Source organism: Homo sapiens, chromosome 3 (assembly GCF_000001405.40).
Source record: "Homo sapiens chromosome 3, GRCh38.p14 Primary Assembly".
NCBI classification, from domain to species: Eukaryota; Metazoa; Chordata; class Mammalia; order Primates; family Hominidae; genus Homo; species Homo sapiens.
Genome location: NC_000003.12, coordinates 162997455 through 163014492, shown reverse-complemented (window position 1 = coordinate 163014492; position 17038 = coordinate 162997455). Strand labels below are relative to the sequence as shown.

General features: G+C 32.6%; 1 annotated feature.

The window, feature by feature from the left end:
* Positions 6583 to 6752: an enhancer, noted in NCBI's record as "experimental_66196 CRE fragment used in MPRA reporter constructs". NCBI's record gives its function as "activates a minimal promoter by MPRAs in K562 erythroleukemia cells, with activity observed for both the introgressed and non-introgressed 3:162725614 variant alleles {active_cell/tissue: K562}" and the evidence as "EXISTENCE:reporter gene assay evidence [ECO:0000049][PMID:34662402]".

The window sequence follows — 17038 nt, the reverse complement described above, 5'->3', positions numbered from 1 at the left end:
TCATGTGACTTACCGCTATCGTTCTTTTTAGGCTATTAACTTAGATATTGCTAATATGTAGGGAATATCTACTGTGTCAAGATTAAATAAAATAAATAAATAATAATTAAAATTGTTTCATTCAAAACAGAGTTTTTGTTTTCAGCCATATAAAATGAGATATGAGACAGTTGGAAGTATCACAAAATTATTATTCAAACAGCTTCAAATACTTTTTTTGAGATTAATGTACAGGATAATTTCACACATCTTTAATGTTTGTAAATTTTTATCTTCTGAATCTATCATGTGGTGTCAACTCTTGTATGTAAAGTAAGTAATTTATCAATGTAGGCATTAAGATGACTAAGTCAAATGAAATCATGCTTAATTATAATGCCCCCTTCCCCTTTCTCTTAACCCTTCTTACTCACCCTTTCTCTTTCTCACGCTCTCCTCCCCAAACCCCACGTTTTAAAAAAACAAATGGGTGTTGAGCATAGTTAGGATGATATTAATTAAAGGAAATGATCTTTGGTACTAAATGACTTTTTGTTTATTTTTAAAACCTAATATAGCAATATGAACCCTAGAGCTATTCAGGCTGTATTCAAGTCCAGACTTTAACAATTAACAGCTTTGTGAACATAATCGAGTTAGTTTTTTTTAAAAAAAATTACATATTCACAAATTATAACTGTAGCTATATAGGATAATAATGTTACTATTTTAAAGACTGTGCAAAGATTAAATTGAGTTAATTAACATATTAATCATCTCAAATATTTAACATTTTTATGATGAGAGCATTGGCAAATAAAACAATCAATCAGAAAATGGGCAAAATACATGAATAGACATTTCTTTAACAACATGCAAATGCCCAACAAGTATGTTTAAAAATATTCAATTTTACTGATTATCAGGGAAATGCAAATGAAGCCACAATGAGATATTATCTCATTCCAGTTAAAATGACTTTAATCAAAAAGTAAAACATGCTTACATACTGTTAGTGGAAATGTGAAGTAATACAACCATAATGGAAAATAGTGTGGAGGTTCCTCACAAACTAAAAATAAAACTACCATGTCATCCCACAATCCCACTGTTACATACATACACAAAAGAAAGGAAATCAGTATATTGAAGCGATATCTGCACTCCCATGTTTATTGTAGTGCTATTCACAATAGCCAAAATTTGAAATCAACTTGTGTCCATTATGGATGAATGGATTTAAAAAATGGTACTTATATCTAATGGAATATTTGGTCATAAAAAAGACTTAAATCCTGTTATTTGAAGTAACATAGACAGAGGTAGAGGTATTATGTTAAATAAAATAATCCAGACAGAGAAAGACAAACTTCAAGTATTCTCAGTCACATGTGGGAGCTAAAAAATGGATCTCATGGAAGGGAAGCAAGTGAAGAACTGAAGACAAATTAGATTATATGTGCAAAAAATACAGTTTTATAGAAGGAATAAGTTCTAGTATTTGATAGTACAGTAGAAAATTACAGTTGACAATAATTTATTGTGTTTTTCGAAACAGCTATAGGAGAAAAATTGTAATGATCCCCATACACAAAAAGATAAATGTTTGAGGTTATAGATATCTCAATTACTCTGATATGATCATTACACATTCCCATTTATACAAATTTGAATATTTCCTAATGTCTTCTCTTACTAAATTATTTAATCATGTAATTGTCAATGAAATGTCATAATGTAGCATATTTTCAATTTATGGGTCTTTGGGAATTGTAATCACCATTCCTAGATTATAGTATTCATTGAGAAAGAGTTTTAGCATGTCTTAGACTTACCCCATATAGAAACATGACTTCATCAAAAAGGTTTGGTCGGTTCTGTCACAATGCTTTGTTATTTTTTGAGTTGCAATCTTTGATTCAATTTAATTTTTATACCTCTCAATGTTCAATTAAAAAAATTACTAGATCAAAACAGAGAGTTAAAGAGAAACCTATTACTTTTAAGATGTTCTTGAGTCACACTTATTTTTTAAGAAAGCAAGTATAAATGATGCAAACAGGAAGAATAACTGATTTAGTAATTCTGACCATTACTTCATTGACAAAAATGTCACCACAGTCAATACAACAATGCTTTATAAGTTGAAGAATGATGTTTTCTTGCATATTTATTTAAAATTTTCAGGATTCTATGACACATTTTTGAAATATTCACTATAATGATAAAAGTATAGTTCAGATCAGAATAATGCAGGGGTAAAGTATTTTATTTGTTTCTAATACAATTTTATTTGTCACCTGTCAAGGCAAGTCATTTTAAATTGGCACTTTTGGTGAAAAACTTGAGCTGGCTATGAGATTTTTACTTAAGACATAATTTTCTAACTTTCCAATTTTCAAATCGTTAGAGTGTGCACAGTATTGAAAAGTTATTAACTCACTAACAACCAACACTGATTGACATGTGTCTCTAATTATTCATTAAAATATATCTATAAACAATAGTTAAAATACTTTTAACATGTGGCCTGGCCTGGTGGCTCACACCTTTAATCCCAGCACTTTGGGAGGCCAAGGTGGGCAGATGCTTGAGGCCAGGAGTTTGAGATCAGCTTGGCTAACATGGTGAAACCACATCTCTACTAAAACAAATAAATTAGCCAGGCCCGGTGGCAGGTGCCTGTAATTCCAGCTACTTATGAGCCTGAGGCAGAAGAATTGCTTGAACCCTGGAGGCGGAGGCTGTAATGAGCAGAGATTGCATCACTGCATTCCAGCCTGGGTGACAGAGTGAAACTCCATCTCAAAAAAAAAAAAAAGGTAAATAAAAAATATATTTCAAAGTTGTGAAGCTTTTTCATCAGTCTTGACAAACCTGAGAGCAATTTTGAAAAAAAAAAAAAAAAGGAGCTTTTCATTAGACTATTGGTAGCAGACATGTCTAGTTATCTCTAACTTTTTTACTGCCTTTCTGATAGAAGCTCTAAGTCATTGGGGGTGACATTAACCCTGGGTAAAGATATTTTTTCTGATATTCCTCAGGGTTAGCAATAGTTATGTAATAAGATGACTAAGTTCAAGACAGCGTTTGGGAGAAGGACTCTCTGGAAAGATATGGGAAATGGAGAGTGTTACTTCCATTTTTCTACTTTCTATGTTGCCATGCTTTATTTATAAGAAGCTGTCATGATGGCAGGGTCTCCAGAAAATATTTATGTCTTAAAATAATTTTCTGAATACACATTATGTCATGTTATATGAAGCATCAAGTATGGGATGAAAATCCTGTTTTGGTATCTTTGGGCATCATAGCTGTTCCAGACTTCCAATATTAAGATTCCTTTTATTAAGAGAAAATAACTTTTTACTTGGTTTCTGGTTTTGAATTTTAGGGTTTTCAGATTTAATAAACAAAATCTAATACTTTTAATTTTCTTCTCTTTTTAATTTTTGAGTACATGGTAAGTGTATGTATTCATGAGGTACATGAGATGTTTTGATACAGGCATGCAATGTGACATAAGCACATCATGGAGAATGGGTGATCCATCCCCTCAAGCATTTAACCTTTGAGTTACATACAATCCAATTATACTCCATAAGTTATCTTAAAATATACTACTAAGTTATTATTGACTATAGTTGCCCTGTTGTGCTATTATATAGTAGGTCTTATTCATTCTTTCTATTTTCTTGTGTGCCCATTAATTAATCTCAATTCCCCACCAACCCAACTCCTTGCTACCATTACCAGCCTCTGGCAACCATGATTCTACTTTCTTATGTCCATGAGTTCAATGTTTTTGATTTTTAGATCCCACAAATAAGTGAGAATATGTGATGTTTGTCTTTCAATGCCTGGCTTATTTCATTTATCATGACAATCTCCAGTTTCATCCATGTTGCTGCAAATGACTGGGCCTCATTCTTTTTTTGGCCGAATGGTATTCCATTGTGTATAGGCACCACATTTTCTTTATCTATTCATCTGTTGATGGACACATAAGTTGCTTCCAAATCTTTACTATTGTAAACAGTGTTGCAACAAACATAAGAGTGCAGGTATGTCTTCAACATACTGCTTTGTTTTTTTTTTTTGTTTGTTTGTTTGTTTGTTTTTTGCGGGGGAGGATATATACCAAAAGAAACCTACTCTAGCAGTAGAATTGCTGGATCATACGGTAGCTCAACTTTTAGTTTTTTATGTAACCTTCAAACTCTTTTGCTGTGCAGAAACATTTAAACTTGATATGATTTCATTTGTCATTTTTGCCTTTTGTTGCCTGTACTTGTGGGACATTGCCCATGAAATTTTTGCCCAAACCCACGTCCTGCAGATTTTCCCCAAGGTTTTCTTTTAGTAATTTCATAGTTTGAGATGTTACATTTAAGGCTTTAATACATTGCATTGGATTTTTGTGTATGGTGAGAGATAGGGGTCTAGTTTCATTCTTCTGCATATGAATATCTGATTTTCCCAGCACCATGTATTGAAGAGACCCTTTCACCCAGTATAAGGTCTTCGCACCTTTGTCAGAAATGAGTTCACTGTAGTTGTTTGGATGAAATTATACACTAATCTCATGTGAGACAATGTGTGTTAGTTAAGACATAAGCTGAGTTATTGTAATAGAAGAACATCAAAGGCAGTGGTTTCAGTAAGACAGAACTTTATTTATCTCACATATAAAAGTATAAAAATAGATAAGGAATGGCTAGTTGGAAGCTCTGACCTACAAGGTGAAACAGATACTCAGGCTCCATCATTTCTAGGGCATTTATCTCATGAACATGGATTAATCTGGCTTACTGCTATAATATTTGTACGCCAACTCACAGGAAAAGTAACAAAGTATTAGGTAAGCAGCTGCTCTTAAGTACAGGTCATGGAAAATGCATATATCATTTGCTTTACATTCTACGTCTTACTTCTAACATCAAGAAAAAACAAGCTATGTCGTCTCCTAACTAAGCAGCCAAGTGAACCATTAAAACTCTACCAGGTTGGACAGCTTGTGGGAAAACAATTTATGTTTTCATATTGAAAAGGAAGAAAGAGAGAAAAGATTCTGGGAGAAAAGTATCAGTCTCTGACAAAATATAGATATAAATATATTTTTAAAATCAATAAATGAAACCAGCATATATAATAAGATTGTAGTAAATCATTTGAAAATTTTCCAGGAAAGCTGTGATAAGTTAATATTAGAGATTTGACTAATGCATTTCATCATAGTAATTAATTATAGGAAAATACTCATAAGGTCATCCCAGTGTTGGCAAAATAAATGCTTATTAAAAATTCAATATCCACACACATGATTAAAAAACAATCTCAGCAAATTAAATATAGAAGAAAACCATATTAGTATGTGGTGCAGCTTCTTGATTGCATTTGATACTGCTAATTGTTTGTGAAAAGCTATCTAAATAACTTTGATTAGATTGAATACCTCGTTTAAAGTTTTCATTATGTATAAAAACATGTTAATAAATCGTAGCCATTATTACTACCTTATTACAGGTCACACATTACGAACATTATATATGTTCTATACGAGCCCTCTATAAGTTTTATAAGAGCCCTCTAGTACTTGCGTTTGTACTTACATTAATGTCCCCAATTGATGATTAAACAAAATATAATTAGACATAATTAAGCAATAGATAGCCCTTGGTAGCAGTAACCAGCTAGGGTTGTATTGTAAAGAACAGTAGTAGTATCCACAATTACTTCTTTCAGTATTCACTTTAAAAGTCAATATAGGAGTGATGTCAGCAAGATGGCTGACTAAAGATGCATTGCATTAGTCCTTGCCACAAGAAAAAACAAGGAAATAAATAAATAGCTAAAATTTGACTGGAGCGTTGAAGGTAGAGAAAACAGATGTACTTGATATCTGCTTTACATGCTCTGTTACATAGTATGGTGACTATAGCAAGTAAGAATAAATGCATATTTCAAAATAGTTAGAAGAGAAGATTTTGAATGTTTCCACCATAAAGAAATACATGCTTTCAATGTTGGATATAATAATTACCCTTATTTAACTATTATACTATGTATAAATGTATTAAACCATCATATTGTACCCAATGAATTTGTATGATGTGTCAATTATAAATTTCTTTAAAAGTTTTGCAGCTGATAACACAATGCATCTACCATCTATCTCTGTGTGCATATTTGCCATCTTAACAGCTTCTATTTTAACAGTTTACATTGTTTGGATGTTTTACATGTTTTCTTTTTTTCTTATTGAGACAGGGTCCCCCTCTGTTACCCAGGCTGGAGTGCAGTGGTATCACCTTGGCTCACTGCAACCTCTGCCTCCTGGATTCAAGCGATTCTACTTCCTCAGCCTCCCTAGTAGCTAGGACTATGGACACGCACCACCATAACTGGCTAATCAGTTTTTTCTTTTTGTATTTTTGGTAGAAGTGAAGTTCACCATATTGCCCAGGCTGGTCTCAAACTCCTGGGCTCAAATGATCTGCCCGCCTCGGCCTCCCAAAGTGCTGGGATTACAGGCATGAGCCACTGCGCACAGCACTCTGCTATTTCAAAATGAGTTTGTGGAATATGTGACTTGTAATATCTACATATAAAATGTGAAAACTTTAATTTACTGTAATTGCATTAGTCTAAAACCCCAACAAAAAAAATAGGCCTTATAAATAAAATGTCCTGTAAAAGGCTCTTTTTAATTGATTTTTTTTTCATTCTTGAATCTAGAATCACTACCTATACACTCTAAGAATCCAGGAAGGGATTCTTTATGAAGGAGTTTGTTGATAACTGAACTTATAGAATGGGGATTATGTAGAGGTAAATTTGATTAAAACAGACTGTAAAAGTTTTATAAATGTATTTTATTTTATCTATATGGTAACTTTTTACTAAGGAAGTGGTGAAAACACTTAGCCACAACAATAGTAGGCCTTAGGTTTGAAATGTTCTACTGTTTGCACGGCCCACGTTATAATGCTCTTGCACTCTATATTTAGTGAGGTATTTAACCCATGCTTGTCTCTCCCACAATCTCATTTTTCCATGTTATGAAAATTGCAACGAAATTTATCTAATATTCCTGCAATTGCTTGCTTTATTTCAGTTTTCAAATAAAAGTATCACTATCAATATTTGGGGAAAGGTTGTTTTGCTTTGTTTCTCATATGCCTTTTAAAATTGCCTTCTCTTGTATATTAGGTATTGCTCTGTAAATGGTGCCTTTTTCTGATTGTGATTTTTGAGACCTGGTTAGTGTTCTTGTTCTAAGTTTGATAGTTGAAGGTTCTCTGCTGAACATCATTTCACCAATGATGAGTGCTTTATTTCAAAAGCTCTAGTAAGAAGAGTAACTTTCTTATCGAAATCTGAGCTGAAAATAGCTTAAATAAGGAACAGATATAGAGTGTCTCCGTTAATGATAATCTTATTAATTATTCTTTCTGGCTGCAATGTTTGGATTTTAATATCTCAGTCTTGGATCTTAAGCTGTCTTCTGTTTAAGTACTGAGTGCTCATTAAAGCATAACTTATATAGTAAATTTACCATAATGAATAAGAAAATGTATATTTTTATTTTACCCTAGTTAAATGGTGGGTGTCTAGATGGTGATAAATGATAGGGGGTACAGATGGACAGGAAGTAGGAAAATTCAGATTTTAGTACTCTATGTGTATGTTTTCTTTGAAATTTATTGATATGTTAATTATGGAGTAGGGTAATGTTACAAATACTGAAGATATGAAATTAAAGAAATAATTTTTATTTGATTCTCAGAATCTGTGGAAGTATATTTTAATGATGTTGTACAATTACTTCAGTTTTTAGTTAGAAGGTGCTTTGGATTAAAATATATAACTCCTACCACCAGACCCTTTGTAAATTTTAGCAATGTTCACCTCATGAAAACTTTACTCAGTATCATCAACATTGTCTTAAGCAATATTATAAAATAAGGGCTTAATCTTTTTTGCATGCACAAAGTAAGAAGTTCCTTTATCATCAATATTAATGTGCATTGTTAATGTTGTACACATACACACACGTATTTGAACACAAGACCTAATATATTATTATAAAAATAACTTTTAGAAACTATTAAAAATATATATGAAATGTAACCAAATGTTACTCTCATTGTAAATATGAAAGAACAAAATACATATAATGGCCTTTGCACTGTCTAGCATCATAGAGCAAGCAACAGACAAACAATAAAAGAAATTGTTGGTTGTCAGTTTAAGTCAGTATTTATTTTGGGAGAAGTTTTTATACTCCTATAATAGATGTATTTTAAAATGCATCTATAAACATTGACCTTCCAGATTTGGGAGAATGTGGGAGTATCGAATAATCTGAACTGATATCAGCCAAACATATATTTTTTTAATTTTTTAATTTTATTATTATTATACTTTAAGTTTTAGGGTACATGTGCACAATGTGCAGGTCAGTTACATATGTATATATGTGTCATGCTGGTGTGCTGCACCCATTAACTCATCATTTAGCATTAGGTATATCTCCCAGTGCTATCCCTCCCCCCTTCCCCCACCCCACAACAGTCCCCAGAGTGTGATGTTCCCCTTCCTGTGTCCATGTGTTCACATTGTTCAATTCTCACCTATGAGTGAGAATAAGCGGTGTTTGGTTTTTTGTTCTTGCGATAGTTTACTGAGAATGATGAATTCCAATTTCATCCATGTCCCTACAAAGGACATGAACTCATCATTTTTTATGGCTGCATAGTATTCCATGGTGAATATGTGCCACATTTTCTTAATCCAGTCTATCATTGTTGGACATTTGGGTTGGTTCCAAGTCTTTGCTATTGTGAATAGTGCTGCAGTAAACATACGTGTGCATGTGTCTTTATAGCAGCATGATTTATAGTTCTTTGGGTATATACCCAGTAATGGGATGGCTGGGTCAAATGGTGTTTCTAGTTCTAGATCCCTGAGGAATCGCCACACTGACTTCCACAATGATTGAACTAGTTTACCATCCAACCAACAGTGTAAAAGTGTTCCTATTTCTCCACATCCTCTCCAGCACCTGTTGTTTCCTGACTTTTTAATGATTGCCATTCTAACTGGTGTGAGATGGTATCTCATTGTGGTTTTAATTTGCATTTCTCTGATGGCCAGTGATGATGAGCATTTTTTCATGTGTTTTTTGGCTGCATAAATGTCTTCTTTTGAGAAGTGTCTGTTCATGTCCTTCGCCCACTTTTTGATGGGGTTGTTTGTTTTTTTCTTGTAAATTTGTTTGAGTTCATTGTAGATTCTGGATATTAGCCCTTTGTCAGATGAGTAGGTTGTGAAAATTTTCTCCCATTTTGTAGGTTGCCTGTTCACTCTGATGGTAGTTTCTTTTGCTGTGCAGAAGCTCTTTAGTTTAATTAGATCCCATTTGTCAATTTTGGCTTTTGTTGCCATTGCTTTTGGTGTTTTAGACATGAAGTCCTTGCCCATGCTTATGTCCTGAATGGTAATGCCTAGGTTTTCTTCTAGGGTTTTTATGGTTTTAGGTCTAATGTTTAAGCCTTTAATCCATCTTGAATTAATTTTTGTATAAGGTGTGAGGAAGGGATCCAGTTTCAGCTTTCTACATATGGCTAGCCAGTTTTCCCAGCACCATTTATTAAATAGGGAATCCTTTCCCCATTGCTTGTTTTTCTCAGGTTTGTCAAAGTTCAGATAGTTGTAGATACGCGGCATTATTTCTGAGGGCTCTGTTCTGTTCCATTGATCTATATCTCTGTTTTGGTACCAGTACCATGCTGTTTTGGTTACTGTGGGCTTGTAGTGTAGTATGAAGTCAGGTAGCGTGATGCCTCCAGCTTTGTTCTTTTGGCTTAGGATTGACTTGGTGATGCAGGCTCTTTTTTGGTTCCATATGAACTTTAAAGTAGTTTTTTCCAATTCTGTGAAGAAAGTCATTGGTAGGATGGCATTGAATCTATAAATTACCTTGGCAGTATGGCCATTTTCAGGATATTGATTCTTCCTACCCATGAGCATGGAATGTTCTTCCATTTGTTTTCATATTTGTTCCTGTACTAATATTTGACTATGTGGATTCCATTTAAGATAACATTTATAGTTTAAAAATTAAGACATTTTATCTTTTTTATTTCATCAATTTGTTATTTGTGATATAAATGAAATGCTTTAAGCATCACACAAATCGAGATTAATCTTGAATTGCTTCTTAATTTTTTATCTTAAGGGCTATACAGCTTTTTGCGTTTAAGTCCTTGAAGCTATTTGCTAACAGAATACTAGACTGAGTAAATCTACCTCTTATCTCCATCTCCTAATCCAAAATGAGAAAATAAGAGCCCTTGACTAAAAAGCTTGGTCTTCTTGCAAAATGTATTCACTGAGTTCTTATAAAAATTTGTGTTTTTTTTTTTTAACAATGAGAGCAGCCATCACGTGAAATACGGACAACTGTACTTCTTGAAATATCTTAGAGAGACATAATTGGTGGATTAATGAAAAGAGAAAGAAACTAAATACCACTCAGCTTATTAGTATGATTTACTGAGGCAGTTAGAAGAATGTTTTTTTCTTCCGAATGAAATTCTTTAAAGTTCAGAGAATCAAATTATCATATTCATATTCCCCTGTCAATCATCTAGTTTCAATATCCCAATAAAGCTATTCCCATTATAACTGATATGTGATGAACTCTAAAGCTATTTATCACCATCATACATATTATATTCATTAAACTCAAAACTTTCAGCTTTAGCTCTATGTCAAACCTTCACTTATTTGTTATTGATGTGTGTGACTTCTTTCCTGAACCAGATATTTAATCTACGATATTAACAAATTCTCTGTCACTTATGTGTGTACAAAAGAAACAACAAAATAAACCAAGACCTGATTTTTAGTTTCACCTATTTCAAGGTGCAAATATTCCAGTTGTGACTGATTTCATGTTACAATGTGTTATCACAATTTGGAAGAGATGCATCATAGTTGTAGTATTCTCACCATACAGAAACAGACGTCAATAAACCTAAGAGAATAGTAATAATAAATGTAATGAAATACTCAGAAGTGATGAATTTTGAGCTACTAATATAATTAGTACTAATATATTCTATTTAAAATTTTGGAATTTAATTTTGAATAATGTTTTATTGAATGACAAGCTTACAAAATTTCTGAAAATCAAGCAAAAGTTGCTTAGAACCATCAGTATTAACAGCATAGTATAAAACATGATAACTCCTGGATTCGATTTTTGTAATTCTGTTATTTGCAATAGATACTCTAAAGCTCTGGTTTATAAACATATTGCACATGTGACTGTACACATAAATCTTCCTAAAATATCAATTGTATTGTGATTAAAATGGGAATCATAATCTATTGTAAGTTATCCTCTTGAATAGGATACAGCAGTAATCTAGGAGAAATGTCTCTACAGGGATGTGCACTGTATGGACATACTGTAACAATGTCTGTCATGGCCTTGAGGTAAAAAACAAAGATTTAAAATGTTTAAGTCCTATCAAACTTTTATTTTTTATAGAAAGGCAACAGATTCTTTTTTGTACATGACAACATGGAGAAAATCTAGTTTCAATGAGCCTGTCCAGATTAAATTGCTAGTAAATGAAAAACCGTTTGTAAAAAACAAAAACAAAAACAAAAATTAAGAGCAAACAGTAAATATTGAAAAAATATAACTTAGATCAAATGTTGCATCCCACAGTCACCTACTCTTCTTAAAAAAATCACCTAAAAGCAACAGGGGGCAAAAAAAAAATACATAAAGTTACATTTGGCAAAAACAGAGATAAATATAAAAACCAATCCCCAAAAACCCTCAAAACTATAGAATGATACAAAGAATTTTCAAAGCAATAAAATAGAGAAGAGATAAATTTGAGAAGAATAGAGAAGAACCTATGGCAACAGGTATCAAAATCTAAGGTACATTTCAAACTTAACTGCTGCCCCTTCAGGTACAAGGCAAAATCCCTTGTTTCCAAAAGAGGAAAATACATACTTTTGCTTTAAAGACTAAAGTATTAGAGGCTTAATAAGTAATATCACAGTCAAGCCATATTTTCAGAAAGTGAAAGTTTCTGGGTCTTAGTTGTTGGTTGAGGTATTTGCATGGTGACCCAAATCTCTCTATATGCTTGGCTGAGATGTTTTGAAGGTAACATTGAATACATACTCAAACCTTTTTATCTTTATGAATTGTTCTACATGACTCAAAATATCTTGCACAGCTATCAACTCCTGCAATAGAAACTTACATATAAACTATTTATATTTATAAATAACTATTCTGAAAAATGGAAGCATTTATAAGACCTATAATAATCATAAAAACTACAAAAAGCTCAAAAATGCATGCAAATTTTAAAAGCAAAGACAATCACTAGAAAAATAATTACAAAGAATTTGAAAATATTGTAGCTAAATAATTCTCCATAAACATAAAGACAATCACCCTGACACATACCACTTCATCCCCCCATACACATACACACAGTAAAGCAGTTGCCTCTATGAGGCAAGAATACAAAGCAAAATTACAACAGCTTATGTAACAAATCTCATGGCAAAAAGGAAGAAATCTAGTATAAATGAAAAGAGCTCCAAAAACAGGTAAATGATATAGTCATAATACAAATGAAAGAGTCATAATACAAATGAAAGTAAAATTTTATGCTAAAAGAAGCAGAATAATTTTCCAAGTGGAGGCCGTATAAAAATATGAATGAGTAAATTAAACAAAATGATGTCTGGATGAAGAGTTAAAAATAATTAGAAAACAGCTATCTATATTTTAAATGTCTAAAGAAGCTCCAACATATGCCCCAAAAGGAAACTGTTAAAATAACAAAATAAAAATAAAATAAAAAATTCAAATTTAAATAGAAGTCTTAATGTACCATTAAAATGGCACATCGTGTTTTAAAATCTAAAAAAAATAATATACTTTACAAATAAAAAAATTTTTTTGGAAAATCTGGCAAAATAAACTTTTATTCAAAAGGTGAAAAAATGGAGACTAGCATCGAAATTTTCTGTAGCAAAATTCCACAATGGAATACAATAAAATAAAATTTGCAAATATACTGAAGAAAAGTGTGACCAAATCATTTTATACCTAGGCACACTTGAGTTTAATAAAATGATTTAGACAAAATCAGTCTTGACCATGCAAGAGTCATTGACTCCTTTTCCCAGGTCCTAGTAAAGTAATCTAATAGGGAGTAAACATAAATCCCGTATGGCCTCCAAGGCCCTTCTGATGCCTCTCTTAATATCTTTCCTACTACCTCTTAACCACTTGTTTAGCTCCAACTGCACTTGACTCAGCTCTTCTTTAAGCATGTCAGAAATGCTTCTGCATTACAGCCTTTGTCTTTGCATTTCCCTCTATCTGAAATATTCTTCCTCCAAATATCCACATAACTTAGTCTTTCACCTCCTTTAATTCTGTTTAAGGCCACCTTTCCAAAGATAATTTTCCAGGTAGCTCTATTTTAAATTGCATTCTGTGACTCTTCCTTTATTATTCTCTACCCCCTTTCTTTTATTTATTTTTGATAATATATTCATTACCACAGTACTTATTATCTTTACCATGTTATACTGTTTTTATTTTATTTATTGTGTCTCACCTCCTCACTAGAATGCAAGAAATTTCTGAGCAGGCTTTTTTTCCCATTTTATTCATGAGATTTTTCAACTTACAGAACAGTATTTGAACATTGAGCAGTGCAATAAATATTTCTTGAAACAAGAGATGTCTAGAAAATGTGGTGTAAAATGCCAGTAAACATTGAATATACTCAACCAAGGGATTACTGAGGGACTATACTAAGCAGTCTGTCAATAAGGATCAGTTCTAATTATACAACAAAATATAAATGTTATGTACTAAATTGTTCTCCCCCACCCCCACAATTTATATGTTGATATGTTGAAGCTTCAACCCCCACTATGACTGCATTTGTAAATAGGATACAGTATTAGTCCGTTTTCACACGGCTATAAAAAAATACTTGAGACTGGGTAATTTATAAGGGAAGGAGGTTTAACTGACTTACAGTTCCACATAGCTTGGGAGGCCTCAGGAAACTTACAATCATGGCAGAATGTGAAGGGGAAGCAAAGACCTTATTCACATAGTGGAAGGAAAGAGAAAGTGTGCAAGAGTAGGGAAAACTGCCTTATAAAACCATCAGACCTTGTGAGAACTCACTCACTGTCACCAGAACAGTATGAGGGGAACCACCTCTATGTTCACCTCCCACCAGGTCTCTCCCTCAACACCTCGGTATTAGGGTTCAAGATGAGATAGATTTGGGTGAGGACACAAAGCCTAAACATATCAGATCTGTTAGAGATAATTAAGCTAAATGAAATAATAAAGATTTTGAATATGATTTCATAGAAGTAGTATCCTTATAAAAAAAAAAGAAGTGATGCCAGGGATCACTCTGTCCACATGCACAAAAGAAAGGCTACATGAAGACACAAAAACAAAAGCGCCATCTATAAGCCAAGAACAGAATCCTTGCCAGAAAGCAAATTTTCTGGCATCTTGATCATGAACTTCTAGCTTCCAGAATTGAGAAAACAAATTTCTGTTGTTTGTGCCACCTGGTCTGTGGTATTTTGTTATGGAAGACTAAGCAGATTAATACAATTAAGTATATAGTCTCTTACATATAATGTCATATTAGTACAGGTAGGGAACTAATATAAATGAGCAAAGGGAAATATTAAGTTAATCAAAGTAGTTACTGGTGCATGGTAAGGGCTATAATGAACTAGAGACAGTCAGCACAGCTTAATGGGAGAAACATACATAATTCGGGTTAAGCAAAATTAGGAATTATGTCAAGGTGTGTTCAAAATGTTTTAGAAAACAAATCCAGATATTTATATGAAATCTCTTGACTTTTAAATTTGTACAACTAATTCAGATTCTGTTTTTCTTAAACAGTAAAAACTGAAAATGGCTGAATGTTGGAAGATTCTGCTAACAGTTTCTGACATTTTTACTATGATGCACATTAAATTCAATACAATCAGCATGACCAAATAGACTACATCTTGAAAATGACAAGAAAGAAGAACATTAAAACAATACATTTTTGAAGAAAAGAGAAAATAAAATTTTCAGGATTAAGCTTAACCTCATTTCTTTTTTACATGTTACATCACAAGACCATGAAGCAAAAAATTAATTATATTTTTCTCTATGTATCTGTGCTTTTTTATATCCATCTTCTCACAGTTTAGTTAAAGATCACAAAAGGAAAACCTACTGAAGTAAAAGGAAATACACATGCATTTATATTTCATTAAGAATTAGGAGCTAATTTTGTAAAAAAAATACATTTTACAAATAAAACATAAAATATATGTATTTTAGTTTAATATTCTTATTAATTATACTGGAACAAAATGGGAGAAGAAAGTAAATTTAAAAATTAGAGATATAATAATAATACCACAAATATCTAATGAAAAATCCTGAGAAATGTTTTGATACTTTTCATGTGACTTTTTCAAACTTTAAAAATGGTAACATGTGTGAGTACTATGAAAATTTTTATTGATATGTAAAGGTAATAAAAAGAGAGTTCTCATGCACAAATACCTGATAACAAAAGCTATCATAAAAGATTTCAAAAACTGCACCTTGCACAAAAGCCATCACAGCCTTACACCAAAAAATACTCCTGTAAAGACATCTGCCCAACAACTGCCAGTCCAACCTCAGATTGGCACCACACTTATTAGTGATCCCTATCACTGAAGCTCTTTATCTAAAACAATTGTTATCCTCCTGATCGTTTTGTTAAAAATCTTTGTCTTCCTTTACCTTCCTGATTATGCACGTAGTTTACTATGACACACATATTCCTATTGAAATGCCCTATCCCCAAATAAATATAAGATGAAATGATATTTCATCTTATTTTAGAGAGCTTCTTTCTTTTTGTTATTTAGATTGACACACATAGTGTCCAGAAGCAGGCCATGAAGCAAGATCACATTCAGAAGAAATCAGCAATTACTGGGGCTGTGGTGCAGTACCCACATGAGCCCTTACAGCTCTCCACTTCCACAGATTGCCCTTTCTGCCCTGGTGAATCTTTTCTCAGGGAAAGACTTCTTTTTGTTAGAAGGTTTTTTAAACTTTGTTCAGGATTTGTTTTGATTATAAGGCTACCTTTAATAAAGGACCTTACATTCCTCCTAAGATAATAAAAGATTATTTTATCTTCCCTGGAAAGTTCTTTCTTATGTAAACACAAGTGTCCTTTTGGTTTGAGTGCTCTAGTTTCTACAGAATTTGCATTCTATGAGGCATGTCTTTTCTGGTGAATTTACTTTTGTTTCTTTTTGCATGCCTAATTTAATATTTTGTTTGATCTTTATGTCCGGGTTACAATTTTTGTGAGCACTCTGATTTTGGTTTCATTTTGATTTGATTGCATGCATCTGCAAAATATTCAGCTCTTTTCCCTAGCTACTTTCGGGAAATCTAAGAGCAAAAATAAGTATTCTAAATGGTGGACCCGGGATGGCTCCTTAAAAGCCACTAGGACAGTTGCCATCATCTAAACACTGGTTCAAACTTCTGACATTCAGTGACAGAGTTTATATAATTTTCTTTGCTTTCAAGCAATTACATAAAATGTAATGAGAATTTCAAACATTAAGATCTGCCGAGATCTCTGGGACTCAAGTTAGCTACATAGATTTTTCTTGTGCACATTTTGGGTCAATGACCATCTTGGGGATTACAACTCCCCAAACTTTTTGATTCTTGCTATCCAATTAAGAGACTACAACTATAAATTAATATGTAGAACCTAAGTTTTCTCTTTTTTGTTGTTGTTGTTGATTTATCTGCTTACTTTGAATTTGCTGACTCTTCTCCAGATGTTGAGATAAAACTTACTGCTCATGGCATTCCAGCCAATATAAAAAAATAAAAAAGAAAGTTTTTGAGGCATTTTCAAATCAATGGCTTTCCAAATTG